This window comes from Homo sapiens, chromosome 6 (genome assembly GCF_000001405.40).
Source record: "Homo sapiens chromosome 6, GRCh38.p14 Primary Assembly".
Classification (NCBI taxonomy): domain Eukaryota; kingdom Metazoa; phylum Chordata; class Mammalia; order Primates; family Hominidae; genus Homo; species Homo sapiens.
In genome coordinates this window covers 12,010,930-12,030,415 of record NC_000006.12, presented here as the reverse complement: position 1 = coordinate 12,030,415, position 19,486 = coordinate 12,010,930, and the positions used below count along the sequence as shown (strand labels likewise).

General features: G+C 44.1%; 1 protein-coding gene across 16 annotated transcripts in view, besides 2 other annotated features; it reads right to left on the bottom strand.

The window, feature by feature from the left end:
- HIVEP1 (HIVEP zinc finger 1) overlaps window positions 1-19,486 on the bottom strand; it is a 204,356-nt gene that overhangs the window by 181,633 nt on the left and 3,237 nt on the right. For 4 of the 16 annotated variants that reach the window (XR_007059258.1, XM_047418701.1, XM_011514548.3 and 1 more), the window contains 2 exons: window positions 14,748-14,890; window positions 9,998-10,168 (listed from right to left, as the gene is read on the bottom strand). Coding sequence is in view for 13 of the 16 variants with exons in the window: in XM_047418701.1 (XP_047274657.1) it covers window positions 9,998-10,064 (67 nt within the window). In the remaining 3 variants the exon portion in view is untranslated. Of the gene's footprint in view, window positions 1-9,997; window positions 10,169-14,747; window positions 14,891-17,626; window positions 17,762-17,849; window positions 18,105-18,361; window positions 18,419-19,032; window positions 19,087-19,486 lie in introns of those variants that run through there. The other 12 variants (XR_007059259.1, XM_047418699.1, XM_047418700.1 and 9 more) reach the window with 5 other exon arrangements.
- Window positions 17,950-18,089: a silencer, noted in NCBI's record as "silent region_16921". NCBI's record gives its function as "represses an Ori minimal core promoter by ATAC-STARR-seq in GM12878 lymphoblastoid cells {active_cell/tissue: GM12878}" and the evidence as "EXISTENCE:reporter gene assay evidence [ECO:0000049][PMID:35858748]".
- Window positions 18,270-19,179: a silencer, noted in NCBI's record as "silent region_16920". NCBI's record gives its function as "represses an Ori minimal core promoter by ATAC-STARR-seq in GM12878 lymphoblastoid cells {active_cell/tissue: GM12878}" and the evidence as "EXISTENCE:reporter gene assay evidence [ECO:0000049][PMID:35858748]".

The following is a 19,486-nucleotide window of genomic DNA, read 5'->3' as shown; positions in this document are numbered from 1 at the left end:
AAATAAATGTGTGATTAGAGAAAAGAAAGGTACAGAAAAAATATATGAAGAAATAATGGCCAAAAACTCCCCAAATTTGATAAAACAAAAATACTGATCTACATATCCAAGAAGTTCAATAAAATTCCAAATAAGATAAACACAAAGAAATCCACAACTAAGCACATCACATTCAAATTGGAGAAAGATGAGAAACAAATGGAAAGAACCATGAAAGAAACAATTCATCTTGCAAAGAAAACAAACACAACACAATAAACAGCTGACTTCTCAGAAGTAACAGAGGCCAGAGAATAGTGGATGTTCAGAGTTCAGAAAGAAAAACAACAAAACCCTATCAACCAAGAATTCTATATCCAGAAAATTATGCTTCAAAACGGAAGGAAAAATAAAGACATTCCATAAATATTAAAAAAGCAACGTTGCTGCTAGAAGACCTGACTTTCAAGAAATGCTACATGAAATATTTCAGGTTGAATAAAAGTGGTACAGGATGATAACCTGAATCCATAGAAGAAGAGGAGAGTGCTAGAAACAATAAATATGTAGGTATATGTAAGACCTATTAGTATGTTTCTCATTTCTTCTCTTAAATTATTTTTAAAAAAGATTGTGTAAAGGAGTGATTTAACACTGTGTAACCTGCTTTATAATATAAAGGGATTAAGCATATATCACAATAATAGCATAAAAGGAGAAAGAAAAGGAGATACTGGAGAAAAGTTTCTATATTTTACCAGAGTTCAGTTAGTATTACTCTCAAGTAGGCAGTGATACTTTAAGATGCATATTATAATCTCTAGGGCAACCACTAAGAAAATTAATCAAAAGTATAGTAAAAACAAAAAAGAAAGAGAAATCAAAATCATACACTAAAAAATTTAACACAAAAGAAGGCAATTAAGGAAGTACAGAGGAACAAAAGTATGAAGCAAACAGAAAAGGCAAAATCACAGATATAAATTCAGTAATAATAATAAATTACATCAATGTGATGGAATAAACACCCACCCAAAAGGCAGATTGTCGGACTGGATGAAAAAGCAATCGCGGCAACACGCTGTCCACAAAAGACACACCTGCAACAGTGGCAGAGGTTCAAAGAAACAAAAAGTTCAACGTGAAAGAACAGGAACACACATGCCATGCAAACAATAACCCTAGTCTCTATAGTAATATCAAGTAAAATAGGTGTTAATGGCCAGCTTGACCTGAGACTTCTAGAACACTCTATGTAACCACAGATTTGTATGGGATTGCTTACAGCAACATTATTCACACAAGCCAAACACTGAAAACAATACAAATGTCCATCAAACGAGTGAATGAATCAATACAATCAGTGCATTTATATAAGAGAATATTATGTAGCGATAAAAGGTAAGGAAGATCCTGATACATGCTACGACACAGATTAATCTCAAACAATGAAAAAAAGCTACATGTAAAAACTATATACTGTATGATTCTACTTATTAAATGTCCAGAATAGGCAAATGTAAAGAGCCAGAAAACAGACCAGCAATTGCCTGCAGCTGACAGTGGGAGCAAGGATTGGTTGCAAATAAGCTCAAGGAAATTTTGGGGGTGACAGACATGTTCTAAAACTGGACTGTGGTAAAGGTTTCCCAACTCTATAAATTTACTAAACACACTGAATCATACACTTAAAACGGGTGAATTTTATTGCATGTAAATTATGTCTTAATAAAGCTGTAAAACAAATACAGTATACAGTAGTATAACTAAGGCAGTAAACTGGAGACTGAAAAAGGTAATCTTTCCATGAAGGAGCATATCCATCAAATACAACTTATTGCAAACCCTAGCTCTTCCAAGAAGATATTAACATGAATGCTGAATATATAACTCATCACACGTATGGCATTAATTCCATCAAAACATGATAGATCAACCTAAACTGTCAACATACAGAAGGATAAATAAAGCATTTAACCCCTTGGCTATGCAGTCATACATCTCCTTACATATGTTAACTGAGTATTTCCTTATATGCTCACTCATCAAATATTCATACAGCTGTCTAGACTTTCACGTGAAGCCATTATGGCCTTTATGTCTTCAACTATAAATTTCCTGGAAGACAGGGACAGAGGTGGTGAACTCCACAACATGTCCAACACCTCAGAGCCGGGCCACAGAAGTCCAGACGGGCTTATAAGTGACAGCCACCAAAGTGGCCCTCTGATTCCACCATACTTCATGACCACTATGGGCTCTTCCTGTCGCTGGGAAAGGAAACATGTTAACAGTTACCGATTCTCATACTATTTTGAGCCACGTGCTAACACCAGCATGGACCAAAATAAAGAGGTTAACGATCCAATTCATCTGTGGAGAATTAACATGCTTTCCAAAGTATTCCCCAAACAACTCAACAGTTATCATGAGCTCAACTGAGCCTATCCTTAAATTTAAACTTAAGCAAAATAAATTAAAACAAAACCATAACACGAAAATATCATTTACTTACTCTCATCCCACTACCCCAAAACCACCAGAAAAAAAGAATTATTAGGATATTACAGAAAGTGTTGTAGGGACTACTGAGAATTCAAACATATTGGATGTTTAAACATGTTTCCCACAACCTAAGGACAAATTATAATGCTTAATGTGCTAGCAGCAATTATCAATCACTCAGATGACCTGGTCCCATTCTCAAGACCTGGCACTCCACTCACAGGGGAAGACCTTCCTTGTAGGGCTCATTTGTCAGAAGGCGCACCTCTCAAAGACAGCTCTATTTTGCTGAATAACAGTCCTTCACAAGACGTTTCATGTACAGCATTGGAAATGGATTGCCTGCAGTAGTTTTCTACCAAGTTGAGTTAAATACAAAGGTGACTAGATGGAGACAGTACAATTTAAAAAAGGAGAGTACGCTACCTGACTCAACAGGTGGCTCCCTAACAATCTAATCCTTTTGGGTTGAGACCCATGACCTTGGTATCAGAAAATCAAGAACTAAATATTTCTGGCAAGACTAACTTGACCTCTAAGGCTTTCCCTTCATTTTAAAACCACAAGTAAGTGGACTTCTTCCCAACCAAATGTGAATTCCCTTATGCTTGGCAGGCAGCGGACCCTCACATACTAACTAAAGCAGTACCTAGGTTCCCCTAATAATAATTCATTCCTACAGCAATCCTCCACAGAAAGATAAAGCATTCTCATTTATTCCCAAACAGAAAAGGGTTTACAAATAAATGTGTTAACTCTCTATTTCCCAGGCAGGATTTGGCAAACTTTTCTGTAAAGCATTAAATAGTAAATATTTTAGGCTTCGTGACCACAAACAGCCACTCAACTCTGCCACTGTTGCATGAAAGAAGCCATGGTCAGTATGTAAATAAATGGGCATGGCTATGTTTCTATAAAACTTTATTTACAAAAACAGGTGGAGGATTGGATTTAGTCAGGATTTACTGATCCCTAGAATAACAGCCATTTACAACTAAAAAGTAAATTGCAGATCAACATCACCCCTACCAACCCCTAACCACCTTGTTCTCTAAGAAGAAACTAAAGATATTTGCTCAAAGCCATATTACTCTTTTGCTGGTTTATTCATACACATGATGATCTTCTGAAATAGGAAAAACAATAAAAAATGGCTGCCTCATTCTTTTAAACTGTTACCAGTTTCCTGGGTGTCAACAAATCATACTGACCTTGGGTGAAGGTTGTTTTTTAATGTTAACATAAAAGATACTGCCTAGCCACCGAACGATCTTCTTTAAATACTTATGACCTTATGACCCACCTGGCAGTATAAAAGACCTTGACCTGGTAATTTTATAATTACCATAAACAGAAACCAAACACATTAAATCTAATAAGTTTCCTTTCCTCTTTTCTTCCTTAGAGTTTCAAGTTCACTGGGAAATCCACTCTAACCAAGCAATCTAAACCAACAATCACTTCTGCGTAATTTTTCCCCCATTCATTCTTCTACCAAAGTCTAAAAACAACTTACTTTCTCTGCCAATATATCCTTCCTGTCTTTAAAAACCCGTCTCAAAACTCCTCCTCATTCAGGTTTTAGTTAAGAAGAAAGTTGACTCCTCCGCGAGGTATTTCCTCATTGCTTTACTCCACTCCAATTATTTTTTGCTCCACTTTCCCTTGGGGAATTCCATACTGCACATACTAGCCTGAAATTATATTTGTTCCTTTATGTTGCTCTTAGATCTTTTATTTTCCTGTGTTTGGAGACACAATGTATTAAAAACTCTAAGAGGGCAGGTACAAGATTTTTTGTCTAGGCATAGCCTACTAGCATTTTCACTGCTCCCGGAAGACAAACAGAATTCTCTATGATCCCTTAAAAATTGTTCTTTTTTTTTTTTTTGATATGGGGTTTCACTCTTGTTGCCCAGGCTGGAATGCAATGGTGTGGTCTTAGCTCACTGCAAACTCTGCTTCCCAGGCTCAAGCGATTCTCCTGCCTTAGCCTCCCAAGTGGCTGGGATTAGAGGGACCTGCCACCAAGCCCAGCTAATTTTTTTATTTTTAGTAGGGACAGGGTTTCGCCATGTTGGCCAGGCTGGTCTTGAACTCCTGACCTCAGGTGATCCACCTGCTTCGGCCTCCCAAAGTGCTGGGATTACAGGCGTGAGCCATCGAGCTTGGCCAACGATGGTTATTTGCCCTTTACCTGCAGTGTGGAAGAAGAGTGCCCATACGTCTAAAATAGCATGCTTTTTCCATATCCTACTGTACCTACCACATGAAGACAAATTATAGAATGTTATCTACTTTATTTTGCTTAGAATTTTAATGTTTTCACGTTAGTTTCCCCAGAAATATTTTCTAAGCCTTCAGGTCCGAAATTTCAACTGTTAGGCGGAGATTCCCACTTAAACACTGCCATTCTCCATTTTAAGTAAAACATCTCTACTTCCAACTATAAAATTAAGCAAATCATGTAAGCAAACGTCTTGGATGAGACAACTATTCTTTCCCTCTTAAAGAGCTTGGAAATTCCCTAGACTGTTTGTGATAGCAAATCTAACTTGGAATAATATATACATATACAACTTGAAATAGATTCTAAACAATTAAAGGCTTAAGAAAAAAAAAATCCTTCAAATTCTGACCTCCTGAATAACCTCAGCTCTGTGTGCTATGCTTAGCAAGTTAACTGGGATGGAGAGCATTTCTAAACTCTTACTAATCAGGAAAGAACTTTCTACTATCAACATCAGCAAGTATAAGCATGATGGTTAGAAGCAAAAGCACTGCAGACTCCTAGCTATGTGACCCTGGGCAAATAGCAATCTTTCTGTGCCTCATTTCCACATCTATAAAATGGGAATCATAAAAGTACCTGTCTCAGGTAGCTGTAGGAATCAAATGAGAAAACATGAAAAGCCCTCTGAACAGAGCCTAGTAGAGACCTGTGGAAAGGTTCGCCCTTTTTATCATCGTAAGACCTATATAAAACCACCTCCCTCTTGCCACTGGGCCTTCCCATCTGCAGAATGAGGAGGCTGAACTAAATGACCTCCAAGGTCCATCCTTCCTGCTGTAAAATGTGTAATTCTCTCAGAGAGGCGCACAAGAACCCAGCAACACAAGGGAGAGCCTTGGTTCACTCCTGGCGTGGCTTAACCAACCACCTTCCAAGTCCCTGTGTATCAGCCCAGTTTATTTTTCTCTTTATCTTTAAACTATCAAATACCACCCTAATTGTATATTTAACCTATTTCCATCTGGATACTATATTAAGCAGTTGTATGCTCACCCTATCTTTTTCTTCACTGGCAAATCTGAAAGAATTTGAAGATAAACCTATGTAAGCACACTTCAAAGTACAAAATAACAAGTATGCTTGGTTAAATTCATACTCTAGTCACACAGGCACACAGAAATTCTGTGGACAGAAACACATAAGGACCATAAAAATCAAGCTTTGTATTAAGTAGGTGTAACTCTTAAATCGTATGGTTCCAATTCATGCTTAGGGACTGCTATCTCATTACACAGCAGCCAACCGTTTTGTTATCACTTTCTATTTTTTCAATATGTTTGCATCACAGCACAGCCTTAGAATATTTTCTAGAACAAAATTCATCATAGAAAATTTCTAAAAACCTTTTGACAACTTCTCATTAAAATTGTAAAAAAAAAAAAAAAAAAATCAAAATCAATGCAACTGTATACCAAATGTAAGCCTAAAGCCTCATGATCAAAAAGAGCTTCTTTCTCAAAGAATGACTTGAGCACTGAGAAGAAAGGTCTCTCTTTGGTTATAAGTTTTTGTGCTATAGTGAACAATGGTTAACAGTATAACAGCATCACCTGTAATGAGCATAGTATTAATATGCAGAAGAGTACTGCAAAAATGTTTTTAAAGAGTTAAATATGTACATGAAAAAGTAAAGCACTTAATTTATTCATAAAATATTTTTCTGCATAATACAAGAATCAACTTTAGCCCAGACTTGCTCAAATTATCACCATTTTAAATGTGAAGCTTAAAAATGTTTTTCTATGATAGGAGATTTTACACAAATTATGTATTTTTCCGTTCTATGGTAAGATAAGATTGTACCTCATCAGAACATATTTTGTACAAAAATGTTCTAAAATAAAATCATTACTCTGGTTAATCATATTACTACATTTTGTATTTGCTTTTAAAAAGAAGCATTTGGCTAACGTTAATAAGCATTCAGAAAGCATCAAATAAGCTCTCAACATGAGCCGAAAAATAATTATCTGCAAAAAAAAAGGAGGCTTGCTATGTTAACTCCATTTTCATATTTTTATCCTCCTCAAACTAAGCACTGTCAGCTATCTACATGATCGCTCCTAGTAACTTTTTCACCCATATTAACAAAAACTATTTTTTAAATTATTACTTATTTCCTTTCTAGCTACAATATAGAGAATTTCTTTTGTTTTTGTTTTTGAAATAAGCCATGGGGTTGTTTCCACTACAAGATTTTTGATTTCTCAAATCTTAAGGCTGTCAGCATGGAACTGCTGACCTAACATTCAAATGTGAAAAACGATGCTTAAACAGCTGGAATTCCATCTGAAAATCATCAAAATTAAACCTACTCCACTTATCAGCTCAACAAGATAATCCCTACATAACAAGTAAACGTAAGATTTTATTCCTGGTAGTAGACTTTGTAAAATAACCACTGGAGTAGGCCCACAATTGATAGCAAATGAAAACATTCATCTTAATCAGATTAATTCTGAAACCCCGGCTGGGCTTCTCTTGTGTCACACAGAAGCGGAGGAGGGGACAGAGAGATGGCTGCCATCTTGGAACCTAAGGAGAGCACTTCACTTCAATCCCGCGTGATCTGTGACACCGACATTTTTTAAAAGAGTTCAACAATAAAACAGAAGCCCTCAGAATCTGTTTCTTGAGAACTAAGTGAAGACAAATATTCTGTTTAACCTCATCTAACACTGTCAAAAAACGAGGCAAGGCTTAAATGAATTTAAGTGGAAAAATGGAGGGAGCAGCACATTGGTAAGAATATTCCCAAATTATTTTCTGCACTGACCTCTCTCCCCCAGATCCCAACCTTTGAATAGTCAGAACAAGAATGGGACATGTCAGTAATCAACATTGAGCACATGAGAAGCCTAAAATGCATTTACAGATTTTATGTAGATATTCCTGTTTCCTGTGTTTATAAAGCATATGGAACCAAGGAGTCTGACATAAACCAGTTTTTTACAGAAAGTAGTAGCTCTCTGGATTGAGCGTGTACCCTGTGTCAGGCACTGTGGCAAATGCTTACATTTGCCATATCATCTCATCTTCACACATCATCTCCATTTTACACACAAGGAAACCAACCACATAGCAAGTCAGTGACTGCATGAGGCCAAACTCTTTGTCTTTATAGTAATTAAATGTACCAAATGGATAAGCTATAAAAATCCTGTATATGGGCCAGGCACGGTGGCTCATGCCTGTAATCCCAGCACTTTGGGAGGCCGAGGCGGGTGGATCACGAGGTCAGGAGTTCAAGACCAGCCTGGCCAAAATGGTGAAATCCCATCTCTACTAAAAATACAAAAAATTAGCTGGGTGCGGTGGCAGGAGCCTGTAGTCCCAGCTACTCAGGAGGCTGAGGAAGGAAAATCATTTGAACCTGGAGAGTGGAGGTTGCAGTGAGCCAAGATCGTGCCACTGCACTCCAGCCTGGGTGACAGAGTGAAACTCCGTCTCAAAAAAAAAAAATCCTGTATGTGAAGTAAAATTTCATATAAAACAAAAGTTAACAATAACCACCTGGTTTATCTGTTCAGGCAATTAAAATTATCACAAGTTTTTAATCAGAAGCTACCAAATATTGGAAGAAGCATTTCCTACTCGAGGTTCAAAAATGTAAACAAATTCCCTGAGTATAAATCATCTCAACCCTCTAGTTTGCTAAAAAGTTGACACAACCAGGCCAGGTGAAGTGGCTCATGCCTGTAATCCCAGCACTTTGGGAGACCAAGGCGGGTGGATCACTTGAGGTTAGGAGTTCAAGACCAGCCTGGCCAACATGGTGAAACCCAGTCTCTACTAAAAATACAAAATTAGCCGGGGGTGGTAGCACAGGCCTGTAATCCCAGCTACTCCGGAGGCTGAGGCAGGAGAATTGCTTGAACCCTAGAGGCGGAGGTTGCAGTGAGCCAAGACAGCACTACTGCACTCCAGCCTGGACAACAAGAGTGAAACTCCGTCTCAAAAACAAAAAGTTAACACAACCAAATATTCTTCTGTTGCACACAGATGACCAAAATGGTCTCTTCTAACATATTATAATCCCGCTAAGATAAGAGACCTGGAGAAGAATGATCATGATGTAATATTGTAAGTACAAGAAGGCACATGTGGACACAAGCAAAGGAGACCCAGGGCATGTCTGTGGAGGGGAGGAGGATATCTGACAAGAGAACAGAAAATGGGGGAAAAAACTCAGAGGTGAAATCTTTAGCAGAGACATCTCCCATACAGAGTAAGAAAACAGTAGAAATGGAAAAGGAGAAGAAGTAACTTCCAGAAAGACAACCAAGCACAGAAATACCGGATGTGCATGCTGAGCTCCTGAAATGGCAAATGGCTATGCACAAGATGCCGTGGAGAACAAGAAGGCCAACCGTGGAAAGCGACCCCATGTGTCAATCAAGGCCATGATCTGATCACATTCCTCAGTGCTACTTCTCACATTTTAAGGAGTCTGGGCCGGGTGCGGTGGCTCACGCCTGTAATCCCAGCACTTTGAGGCGGTTGGATCACCTGAGGTTAGAAGTTTTGAGACCAGCCTGGCCAACGTGGTGAAAACCTGTCTCTACTAAAAATACAAAAAAATTAGCTGTGCGTGGTGGCAGGCGCCTATAGTCCCAGCTACTTGGGAGGCTGAGGCAGGAGAATGGCTTGAACCTGGGAGGTGGAGCTTGCAGTGAGCCAAGATCACACCGCTGCACTCCAGCCTGGGTGACAGAGTGAGACTCCGTCTCAAAAAAAAAAAAAAAAAAGAAAGAAAGAAAGAAATCTGGTTCTCAGACAGGAAAAGAGTTCTCATTTTTTGCAGAGTGTTCGGAGCCAAATGAACTCAACCAATAAAAATGAAAAACAGCTACACCAAATTTTCAAAACATGTTTTGCAAAAGGTTAATACTTAGTATTTTCCACACTGACTTCCAATCTTAAAGGAAATGAAGCTCTGAAACCCTAGGCCCAAATACAACTAAAGTAAGTAACACCTCTTTTCCTTTTTTTCAAAGCTTTGAAACACATTCACAAGAATGAGTGGCAAAACACGAATAGAGCCCTTTATCACAACGGAAGAGGCATGGAACCCCCTGCAAGTCACCAACTCCTCCATTCCATGTTACTCAAGGGTCCAAGCGAAGGCCTGAGAAGGTGGTGGAGATAACCCCTCCACAGAGCAGCGATGAGTAAGGAATGATGGCTGGGAGACACAGCGCTGCCCTGCTGTCAACTCACCAAGACCATGCGGAAGAGCCACCCCGTGCAGTCCAGTGACCCTTCTCCACGGAACCCAGGACAACATGCTAAGCCTTTCTTCTGAACACCAAGTGCTGCTCTCATGCTCTTCCAAAATTCTTCAACCTCACAAAGGATAGGTCGGTGTCAAAACGGCACCCACCACGTTTCCTGCAGATGGGAAACAGGCATGGAGAACTGATTCTATCTGGTTTAACGCTGGGCCAAGGGTGAAGAGACTGAATTCAACAAAACCACAGTCCTACACAGTATACAGATCACCCATCAAGTCGGACACTGTCTCACTTATGTCCCCAATTTGTTTCCTGCCCTTAACCTAACAATTCTTCTTATACCTTTTCTAGTAAACAACCTCTAAGAGCAAAGAAGTAGATACTCCATCTCCTTATAAAAGCAGTCTATGCAGGCTTAATTTTCAAATCCATGCAAACTTTCTATACTCTTCCATGATAGATTCCGGTATTGCACATTTTTATGCTTGCCTAATACTTTAATATGTGTATACGTGTGCACACACAGACAAGTATACGTATTTTTCCCCAAGTAAAATTCACATTCCTGAAAGATACATGTTACCCTGTGGCTTTGCACATCCGTAGGGATATATCTGTCCCAGCAGGAGAACCAAGAATAAATCAAAGAAAGATTACATTCTAAGAGGTGAAACTACCATGGAAGCATAAGAAAAATATAATTTGAGAAAGTATCAGGTATCTGCCTTTTAATACGGACTTGATTACCAAGCACAAGACAAACATTTCAGACTATTTCCCCCAGGAAGCCTAAAAAGAGGCGATGGGTTTCCTGAAAGCTCCTGAGCTGACGGCAGAAACAGTAGGGGCAAACTGGGCTGTGACTCCTCTTCTGGTCTCCCAATTTCCTCTCCCCGCATTTCTTATCTCATCGCATTAGAGATGTCTTCTAGTAAAGCAAAGCAGTGGATCACAGGTAGGGCACAACAAACCTGATATTCCAAACTGTCACAATGAGATATTAAAGATACGCTCAAAAATTAATCTCAGGAGCTGATGGTTACCTGCTTACTCTAACCCCCACATCCTTCCCAGGGCTCGAGTCCTTACAGACATTGTGAGGAGCGCGGAAGTTTCTAGGTGTCACCGCCGAGCACCAACCCCTCTGTCCCTTTGCTTACTCAGGGTTTCCCATGGGGACCTAGAGCTTCACTCCCGTCCCCCGCTGCTGAGTGAGCTACACTGGCTCAGAAGCCGCCGCTTCCCTGAAGTCTTCCCCTTCCCCATCAGAAGTCCCACTGAGGTGGCTTTAGTGTGCTTACTAGAGCTAATCTATTCCAATCTTTTCTTTAGTGGCTGTGAGTTCTTAACTACCTTAGTCAAACAACTTCCTAAACGCTCACAGACAAGTCAGACACAATTTATTCCAAGTTCTCTTTGAAAACTTTAAAAATATCTTAAAGAAGCAAGTTTTCTTATTAAAACTTTTAACTCTACATATGAAATGTAGGCTTAAATCTGAGGGCCTTTCCTGATCTGATTCCTCCTGATTCTCCTGCTCCAGTATCCTGCCTCTCTGTCTCCTTCTCATCCCTCCTGAAGAGAACTTCTTATGCTCTAGAAGTAGAGAACCATTTAAAGTTGCTCAGAGTCCCCAAGTTATTTCACAACCTGCTACCCCAGGATGAAATGCACTCACTTTGCCTTGTCAGCTTCGCAGATAACTTCCCAGCCTTAAGAACCAAATCCAGGTGTTAACTTTCCTTCCCTAAATCATCATTCTGCTTCACCCCAAACTGCGCCCCCTACAATGGGGACAAAATAATGACTCCCTATCTCTGTGGAATCTCCATACTATTCATTTCTCACCATAGTACATAGTTACATGTTTACCTATCAGCTCTTCAACTCCATTCTTCTTTCGAGACCTGTGTTTTATCATTTTATCCCTATCATAAGAACATGAAGTACATGAAGGTAGTAATGAGAGGTGACACCGTGCTGTCAGCCCTCACTCGCTCTCGGCGCCTCCTCCGCCTTGGTGCCCACTCTGGCCGCGCTTGAGGAGCCCTTCAGCCCGCCGCTGCACTGTGGGATCCCCTTCCTGGGATGGCCCAGGCCAGAGCCGGCTCCCTCAGCTTGCAGGGAGGTGTGGAGGAAGAAGCGCGGGCAGGAACGGGGGCCGCGCGTGGCGCTTGTAGGCCAGCTAGAGTTCCCAGTTGGCGTGGGCTTGGCAGGCCCCGGGCAGTGAGGGGCTTAGCACCCAAGCCAGCAGCCGCGAAGGGTGCGCCAGGTCCCCCAGCAGTGCCGGCCCACTGGTGCTGCGCTCGATTTCTCGCCGGGCTTTAGCTGCTTCCCCGTGGGGCAGGGCTCAGGACCTGCAGCCCGCCATGCCTAAGCACCCCCCACGCCATGGGCTCCTGCACGGCCCCAGCCTCCCCGATGAGCGCTGCCCCCTGTTCCTAGGCGCCCAGTCCCATCGACCACCCAAGGGCTGAGTAGTGCAGGCACAAGGCGCAGGCAGCTCCACCTGTGGCCCCAGTGCGGGATCCACTGGGTGAAGCCAGCTGGGCTCCTGAGTCTAGTGGGGACCTGGAGAAACTTTATGTCTAGCTAAGGGATTGTGAATACACCAATCAGCACTCTTTATCTAGCTCAAGGTTTTTAAATACACCAATCAGCACTCTGTATCTAGCTAATCTAGTGGGGACCTGGAGAACTTTTGTGTCTAGCTCAGGGATTGTAAACACACCAATCAGCACCCTGTCAAAATGGACCAATCAGCTCTCTGTAAAACAGACCAATCGGCTCTCTGTAAAACGGACCAATCAGCAGGATGTGGGTGGGGCCAGACGGGAGAATAAAAGCAGGCTGCCGGAGGCAGCAGTTGCAACTGCTTGGGTCCCCTTGCAGACTGTGGAAGCTTTGTTGTTGTGCTCTTTGCAATAAATCTTGCTACTGCTTGCTCTTTGAGTCTGTACTGCCTTTATGAGCTATAAAACTCACCGCAAAGGTGTGCAGCTTCACTCCTGAACCAGCGAGACCACGAACCTACCAGAAGAAAGAAACTCCAAACACATCTGAACATCAGAAGGAACAACCTGTGGACACGCTACCTTTAAGAGCTATAACACTCACGGCGAGGGCCTGTGGCTTCATTCTTGAAGTCAGTGAGACCAAGAACCCACCAATTCCAGACACAGTAACAAACATGTGCTGAGTTGAACATTTATTTGATACAGAAAGGAAAAGAGCCTATGGCCTGTAAATCTGTGTTTCTCAGGATAGTCATTTTATCTAGAATGTTATGAACATATATTTTAAATATGAAAAATGTTTAATACTTATGGCCTAATAAATAACACCTTCAGATCAATCATGCACTCGTTCCTTCAACAAATATTTGGGCTGCCATTAGCTGCCAGGAACTGTGCTGGGCTAGGGCTGCTGCTCATCTGTATGCTGCACTTGTGCAAACTAGAACAGGGTGCCCTCCCTGGACAGATAAAGCAGGGCCCATGTCTCCAAATGCCCACCTCAGCTGGTACCCTTGGGTCTGGAGGCTTTTCCTACAGTAACAAATGAGAGTGAGTCTCTAGGGAGTTCAGATTCTAGTGAGGGGGACGGGCAAACACATTCAATTTTCAACGTTTTCTATATGACTATAAAAAATCAGATTTCCACACACCACACTTGTTCTCATGTAAATCTCCACCTCATTGAACACTGGTTACTACAATCATCAATTTGAACTTAGGCTGAGGCATCCACCTGAGGCAACAGAGATTTCTAGACAGGAAACAAGCACTATTTCCAGATTCACGGAGGCCATAAAATTGACTGCATTTTCAAAGATCACCTTATGGTGACTAGCCAAATTGATTTTACCAAAAAACATTTCAAATTAATTTATTTGATTTTTAAGTCACTTCTCCCCTACATACGCTTCAGAATTTTTTTTCTGTAATGGTAAATATTTCATAAAACACCATAGTCAGTTTGGAATTATTTGCTTTAATAGTTCTTGTTTTTAGCACTACTACATTCTTATCTCCTGAAGTTTAATATAAAAGATAATTGCTATTCACCATTGATATAACACGAGAACAATACAAATCTTTTTAAACAATAAGCTAGAATACACTTACTTTTCTACTATTAAAAGTATTCGCGGTTGATGGAAAACACACACTTTTCTGTCTTTGCATGAAATGTGTATCATATATATATTTGTGACCCACTGCTTCTTCGTGGAAAATAACTCAGTTTGCCTCTGACTTCTGCAAGTAATGGTCTGAGTGAATGCCTACAATTCTCTTCACTTCTTATCTTGTTAATCTAACTGATGGAGTGGTACAAAAATAAACCTCAAAAGAACTATGGAGGAAGAGTGAAAAAAAAACATAAAATTCTTAATGATCCAGTTGGCAAAGAATATTTAACCATTACTTTCAGATTCCTTGACCCAAATATGGTTCCTATTAACAAATAGCAACTTTCAGCCTTTAATACCCCATCTAATGGTTTGGAAGGAATGCACTGTAATTTCGTCAAATTCAATTCATTCATTCAACAGATATTTATTAAGTATCTCCTGAGAGACAGGAATTGTGCAGGACTGCTGGAAATGAGCAAGAGAAATAGCGCTCCTCACCAGGCAGGGTCAACATCTAACAAACGGCCATTCCTGTCACCAAAGAGATACTTTGTTAAAAGATTTACAGCAAGCCTTACTTCTACTTAATGCAATGCTTTACCTCTTAGATTTCTGGGATGAATTTGTTTAGTTCGAGGCATCTTCTTTGACTCAGGGCCTTCTTTTTCTTCTTAAAAACTGCAGATAAAGCAAGCCACCAAAAGGCAGCTCCATAAACTCAACATACATCAATTAATCCATGTGCTGAAAAAGAAAAAAACGGAGAAGCACATTTTACTACCTTCAGAGGAGAAAGATACTTTAAAAGTTACTGCCTAGCAGAGCACTAACCTAAACTCAAGAAAAAGTAACCAAGCTGGGCACCACTGCAAAAGATTACTAACTTTTAATTAAACAGAGGTCATTTTGTCAGTATCGGGACTTCTCATTAAGAAAACAGAAAAAAAACACCGTATCTTTATCAGACAAGAGTAAAAAAACTCACTTTGTGTTTTAAAACAACAATACCAGGAACAAGTAAAGTATCGCATCAGGCTACAAAAGGATTATGTTAGGCATGTATAGTAAATCTGCCCATTCATAGGGGCAGGGACAATGTCTTGTTCATCTTGTTTTAGAGTTAACTCAGTTAATACAAGGGGTTGCTACTGTGGCTACTCCAGTTATTCCAGACCTCTAGGTTCATGGTAGGACCACACTTTCTGCTTCCCTGTGTTTCCCAGGAACGTGTGAGGAGCTGTAGCTAACGACCTGTGAGCGGATGAGACTTCACTTCCAGGCTGGAGCATTTAGTTATTACCACAGCATGATCCTCCAGAGCTCTTCTCTCTCTGCCATGGGATCAGCACTGCTCCAGACAGCAAATCTGACACCACCACAAAGTCAGCTCTGGCTAACCCACGTGATCACACAGCATACGCCAGAAACACCTTTTTGTTTGCTTAAATAAGTGAGGTTTGAGAGTTATTTGTTACTGCAGCACAACCTAGCCTGTCCTGACTTACAGATTTTAAAACACAGTGATCTGAAATATAATAGGCCAAGATAAGAATGACCCAAAACCGAATCACCTATCTCCCCAAATCAGCCACCTCAGGCTCTTCCACAAGATTCTCAAGGATCTTAAAGCTGAAATTTTAACTTACTGCAAGAAAACTGAGAAGCAAAGCCCACTGTCACTGTTAAACATGAAACAATGTTTAGTCATTAAGCAAAGACACAAGAATAGAACAGTAAGGAAGGCTTAAAGCTTTTGTTATTAGTGGTACTGTAGAAGACAAGAGAACACTTATGAGCACCTACTATGTGCCTGTGTACTTTCTACACATTCCCTAATTTAATCTGTTAACTAAGAAGGTAGCTATCATTTATTCATTTTACAGATTAAAAAAAAATTGGATAAGTAACTTGTCCAAGATAAACAACTAAAGAATGTGGTACTGCATGACTCAGTTATATCCAGTGCTTATTTTGTGGAGCTGATAACATCTACTTTCAGGATTTCTTTCAAGAGGCGCAGCAAGTCATGACGACTTATCTTGGTGTCAAACCGGAGTGGGTTCAAAGCCAGGCTTTACCCCTTACTGTGTGGCCTTGTTCAGGTTACTTAACCTCTCTGAAGATCAGATTTCCCAACTGTAAAATTAGGAAATATTATCCACATCAGAAGGTTGTTATAAGGACTAAACTAAACATTGTAGACGCTTTGCCTGTCACACAAAAACGCTGAACTATTAATTCTCCTTAAGAAAGCCTATATGGGAAGGAATGTGTCTAACATCCCAGTATAAGGTTTTAGAAATTTATGGTTTCATTACAGCAAAGAAACAGAAGGTAAAGAAGGCCACGATTAACTTCAGTATTTTATCCCTGATCTGGCTGTATGTCAGCTCAGCACAAAATTATTTGCAATTTTTAACTACATGGTAAAATAATACAAAAAAAAATGATGGTCTAAGTATTTCATCTAGCATTGTGCTAAGTGATCTATAAAAGATAGGGTTTCTCAGCTCCTTGCTCTAAAGAAACATCCACTATCTAATTCAGGAAGGTTCTGATTCAATAAAGAATTGAGACACAGCTGAACCAAATAAATTGCATGAATGCTTAACTACGTTCGTTGTTAAACTTAAAGCTTTTAAATGGTAACGATATTTGGAAGTTTTTAAAGCGTGAACTCTGACTGTAATCCAATCATGTGATCCCATGGGATCCGGAGCATAAATGTAAAATATGCACATTCCCTGTCCGTAAAGGCTTTCTGCTACCCCGTTCATTGCCTACCCACTGTCCCTAGCTGTCCATCCCATATTTAAATCCTTGTGGGGGGAAGTGGGTATTTCCAAAGACAGCAGCATTGTAGCGACTAGGACGAGTGATAAACCGTTCCTTTACGGGAAAGAAATAAATACTACATGGAGCAAAAACATGACACGATCAAAAAGCGTAAAGACAGTTGCAAGGAGAAAAAACATGAATGAATGTGGAGGGCGGAGCCTGGGAAAACCCCTCTGCAACGCTGCACTGAACAAAGCGCTTCGCATGCCAGGAGGAGGGGGGGAATGGAAGTGCCAGCTCAGGAAGGAGCCTGGAGTGGATGCAGAGAGCTGAGGAGGAGGAGGACGAGATGAGGCGAGCGCGGCAGCCCTGAGACTCCTCCTCGCCGCCTGCTCCGCCGCCGCCCCCTCCCCTCTCCAGCCAGCAACTCCTTCCCGAGCCCGACCCCAAGGCGAGCCCGAGCCGACCCGCACCCCAACCCACCGCCCCCTTCCCAACTGCAGCTGGCGCGCACTCCCAACCCGGAAAGAAACTACCCAGGTGGCCGGGAGTAAACAGGCACTTAGAGCAAAGAACGAAAGGGAAAGAAACCCACAAAGCCGGGAGGTTGGGATGCCGAGGCCTGGTCTCTTTCACCCCCCACCCTCTTGCAAAATGCGTCTGCGGCTGGAAGGCGGCTGGGGAGGCTGGGTCCCTCTGTACCTGCTCGGCTCGCGCGCGGCGAGGGCGCCCAGAAGTGCCAAGGGTCTCCCGCACGCAGCCATCCCCTCTGCAAGGTCGGCGGTTGCACACACACGCACACACACACACACACGCGCGCCCGCACGCCCCCCGCCCGCCGAAGGGATGTGCTCCTGCCCCCCCCCCCCTCCGCCCCGCCGCCCTCCCCAGCTGCAGCGCCCCCGCCGCGGAGCCCGCGCCGAACCTGCTGCCAGGACGCCCGGCGGAGCCGCTGCCGCTGCAGCCGGCCCTGGAGCTGCGCTGCTGATGGCGGCGGCCGCGGCTCGGGATCTCCGCGACCCCCGCGCGGCGGCGGCGGCGGCGCCTGGGATCCCTCCTTCACTTGACAACCCCAAACACAAACATAACCTCCTCCGGCGGCCGCCGCTCCCCGGTCCCCCGCTCCGTCCGCCACCCTGCCGCCGCCCAGCAGCCGCCACGCTGAAGGCCGGCGACTGGCGCTCACACCACCCAGCACTGAAATATTAAACAGGGGAGCGGGCCGGGGGGCGGGGGGGGGAGCGCGGGGCGCGCGGGCGGGGGCCGCAGCCGCCGGGCGGAGGAGGCGGCGAAGCTCGCCGGCGCCCGGAGCCACGGCATGATCGCGGCCGCCAGGGAGCCGGGCAGCCGGGCTGGGGGGCGCGCGCCGCGGCGGGGCGGGCGGACAGACCCTGGGGCCGCGGGGCCCGGGGCGGGAAGGACGGGCGCGGGCTTTACCTCTCCCCCGGGGCAGAGTAGGGCACGTTTAGCGTCTTTGGGGCCGGCGGGAGGAACGCGGGCCGGGCGGCGCGGGGGAGGCAGGGCGAAGGTCGGAGGCTTTCCCGCGGGTGGGCGGGGCGGCAGGGGATCCCCGGGGGCGGGAGGAGGGGAGGCCGCGGGCGGCGACGCGTGGGCGGGGGAGGGGGCGTCCCCGCGGGGGCTGGGGTTGAGGCCGGGGCGAGGGGCGCGGGACGCCCAGGCGCCGGGGCCCAGCTGGGCCGGCGCGGCCGCCAGCTCTGACCGGGTGTAGGGACTGGATGGGCGCCCGGCCCGGCACGAACCCGGAGCCAGTGCCCCGGGTCTCCCCGGCGGGGCGGGCCCCAGACCGCGCCGGCCCCGCCACCTACCCGCCGCTTCGCCCCTCCCCGCCCCGCCCGGCCGAGCCGCCGCAGGGACGGGAGGGGGACGCGGGAGGAGGTGGCAGCGCAGCCCGGGGGGGAGGGGCGGGGTTAGGGACGCGGGGGGCGGGAGCCCTGGGTCGCGACGCCTGGGGAACCAGCACACGGCGGGGGCGGAGGGGCGGGCCCGGCCAGTCACGCGGCCCCGGGAAGGCCTGGCGGGGTCGCTCAGTTGGGGGCGGTTGGTCCGGGAAGAGGGACGGGACGGGCGGGGCCGTAGTTTCTCTTTACCGTCTCTTTACTTTCTACAGCAGGATGTGGGCCGGCCGCTGACGTCATGGGGTCTCCCGGCCCCGCCCCTCGCCCGGGCAGAATGGGGGAGGGGGAGGCGGGGGGGGGGGGGGACCCCAAGGGGGTTTCCTCAGCAACGCGTAGAAGGAAGGGGAAAGTCATTGTGAAACTTAAAACTCATTAACTTTGAAAAACAACTTTTAAAAAAACGGAGGGGGCAGGGTGTTGGTTTGGAGAGTGGAAGGGGACATGTTAACCCTGAACTGAAACCACTTTTTGGTGGCGGATGTTCTATTAAAAGAGCGAGGAAAGCCAAGGTTATTCCAGAGGCCGCTCCAAAGCCCCGCTGGTGCTTCCCAGTGCCGAAGCTGCGAGCGCAATTAACCCCTGCCTGCCAGCCTGACAGCTTATAGGGCCAACCCGGGAGGGGACTTCGGGGACAGAAAAGGGGGGT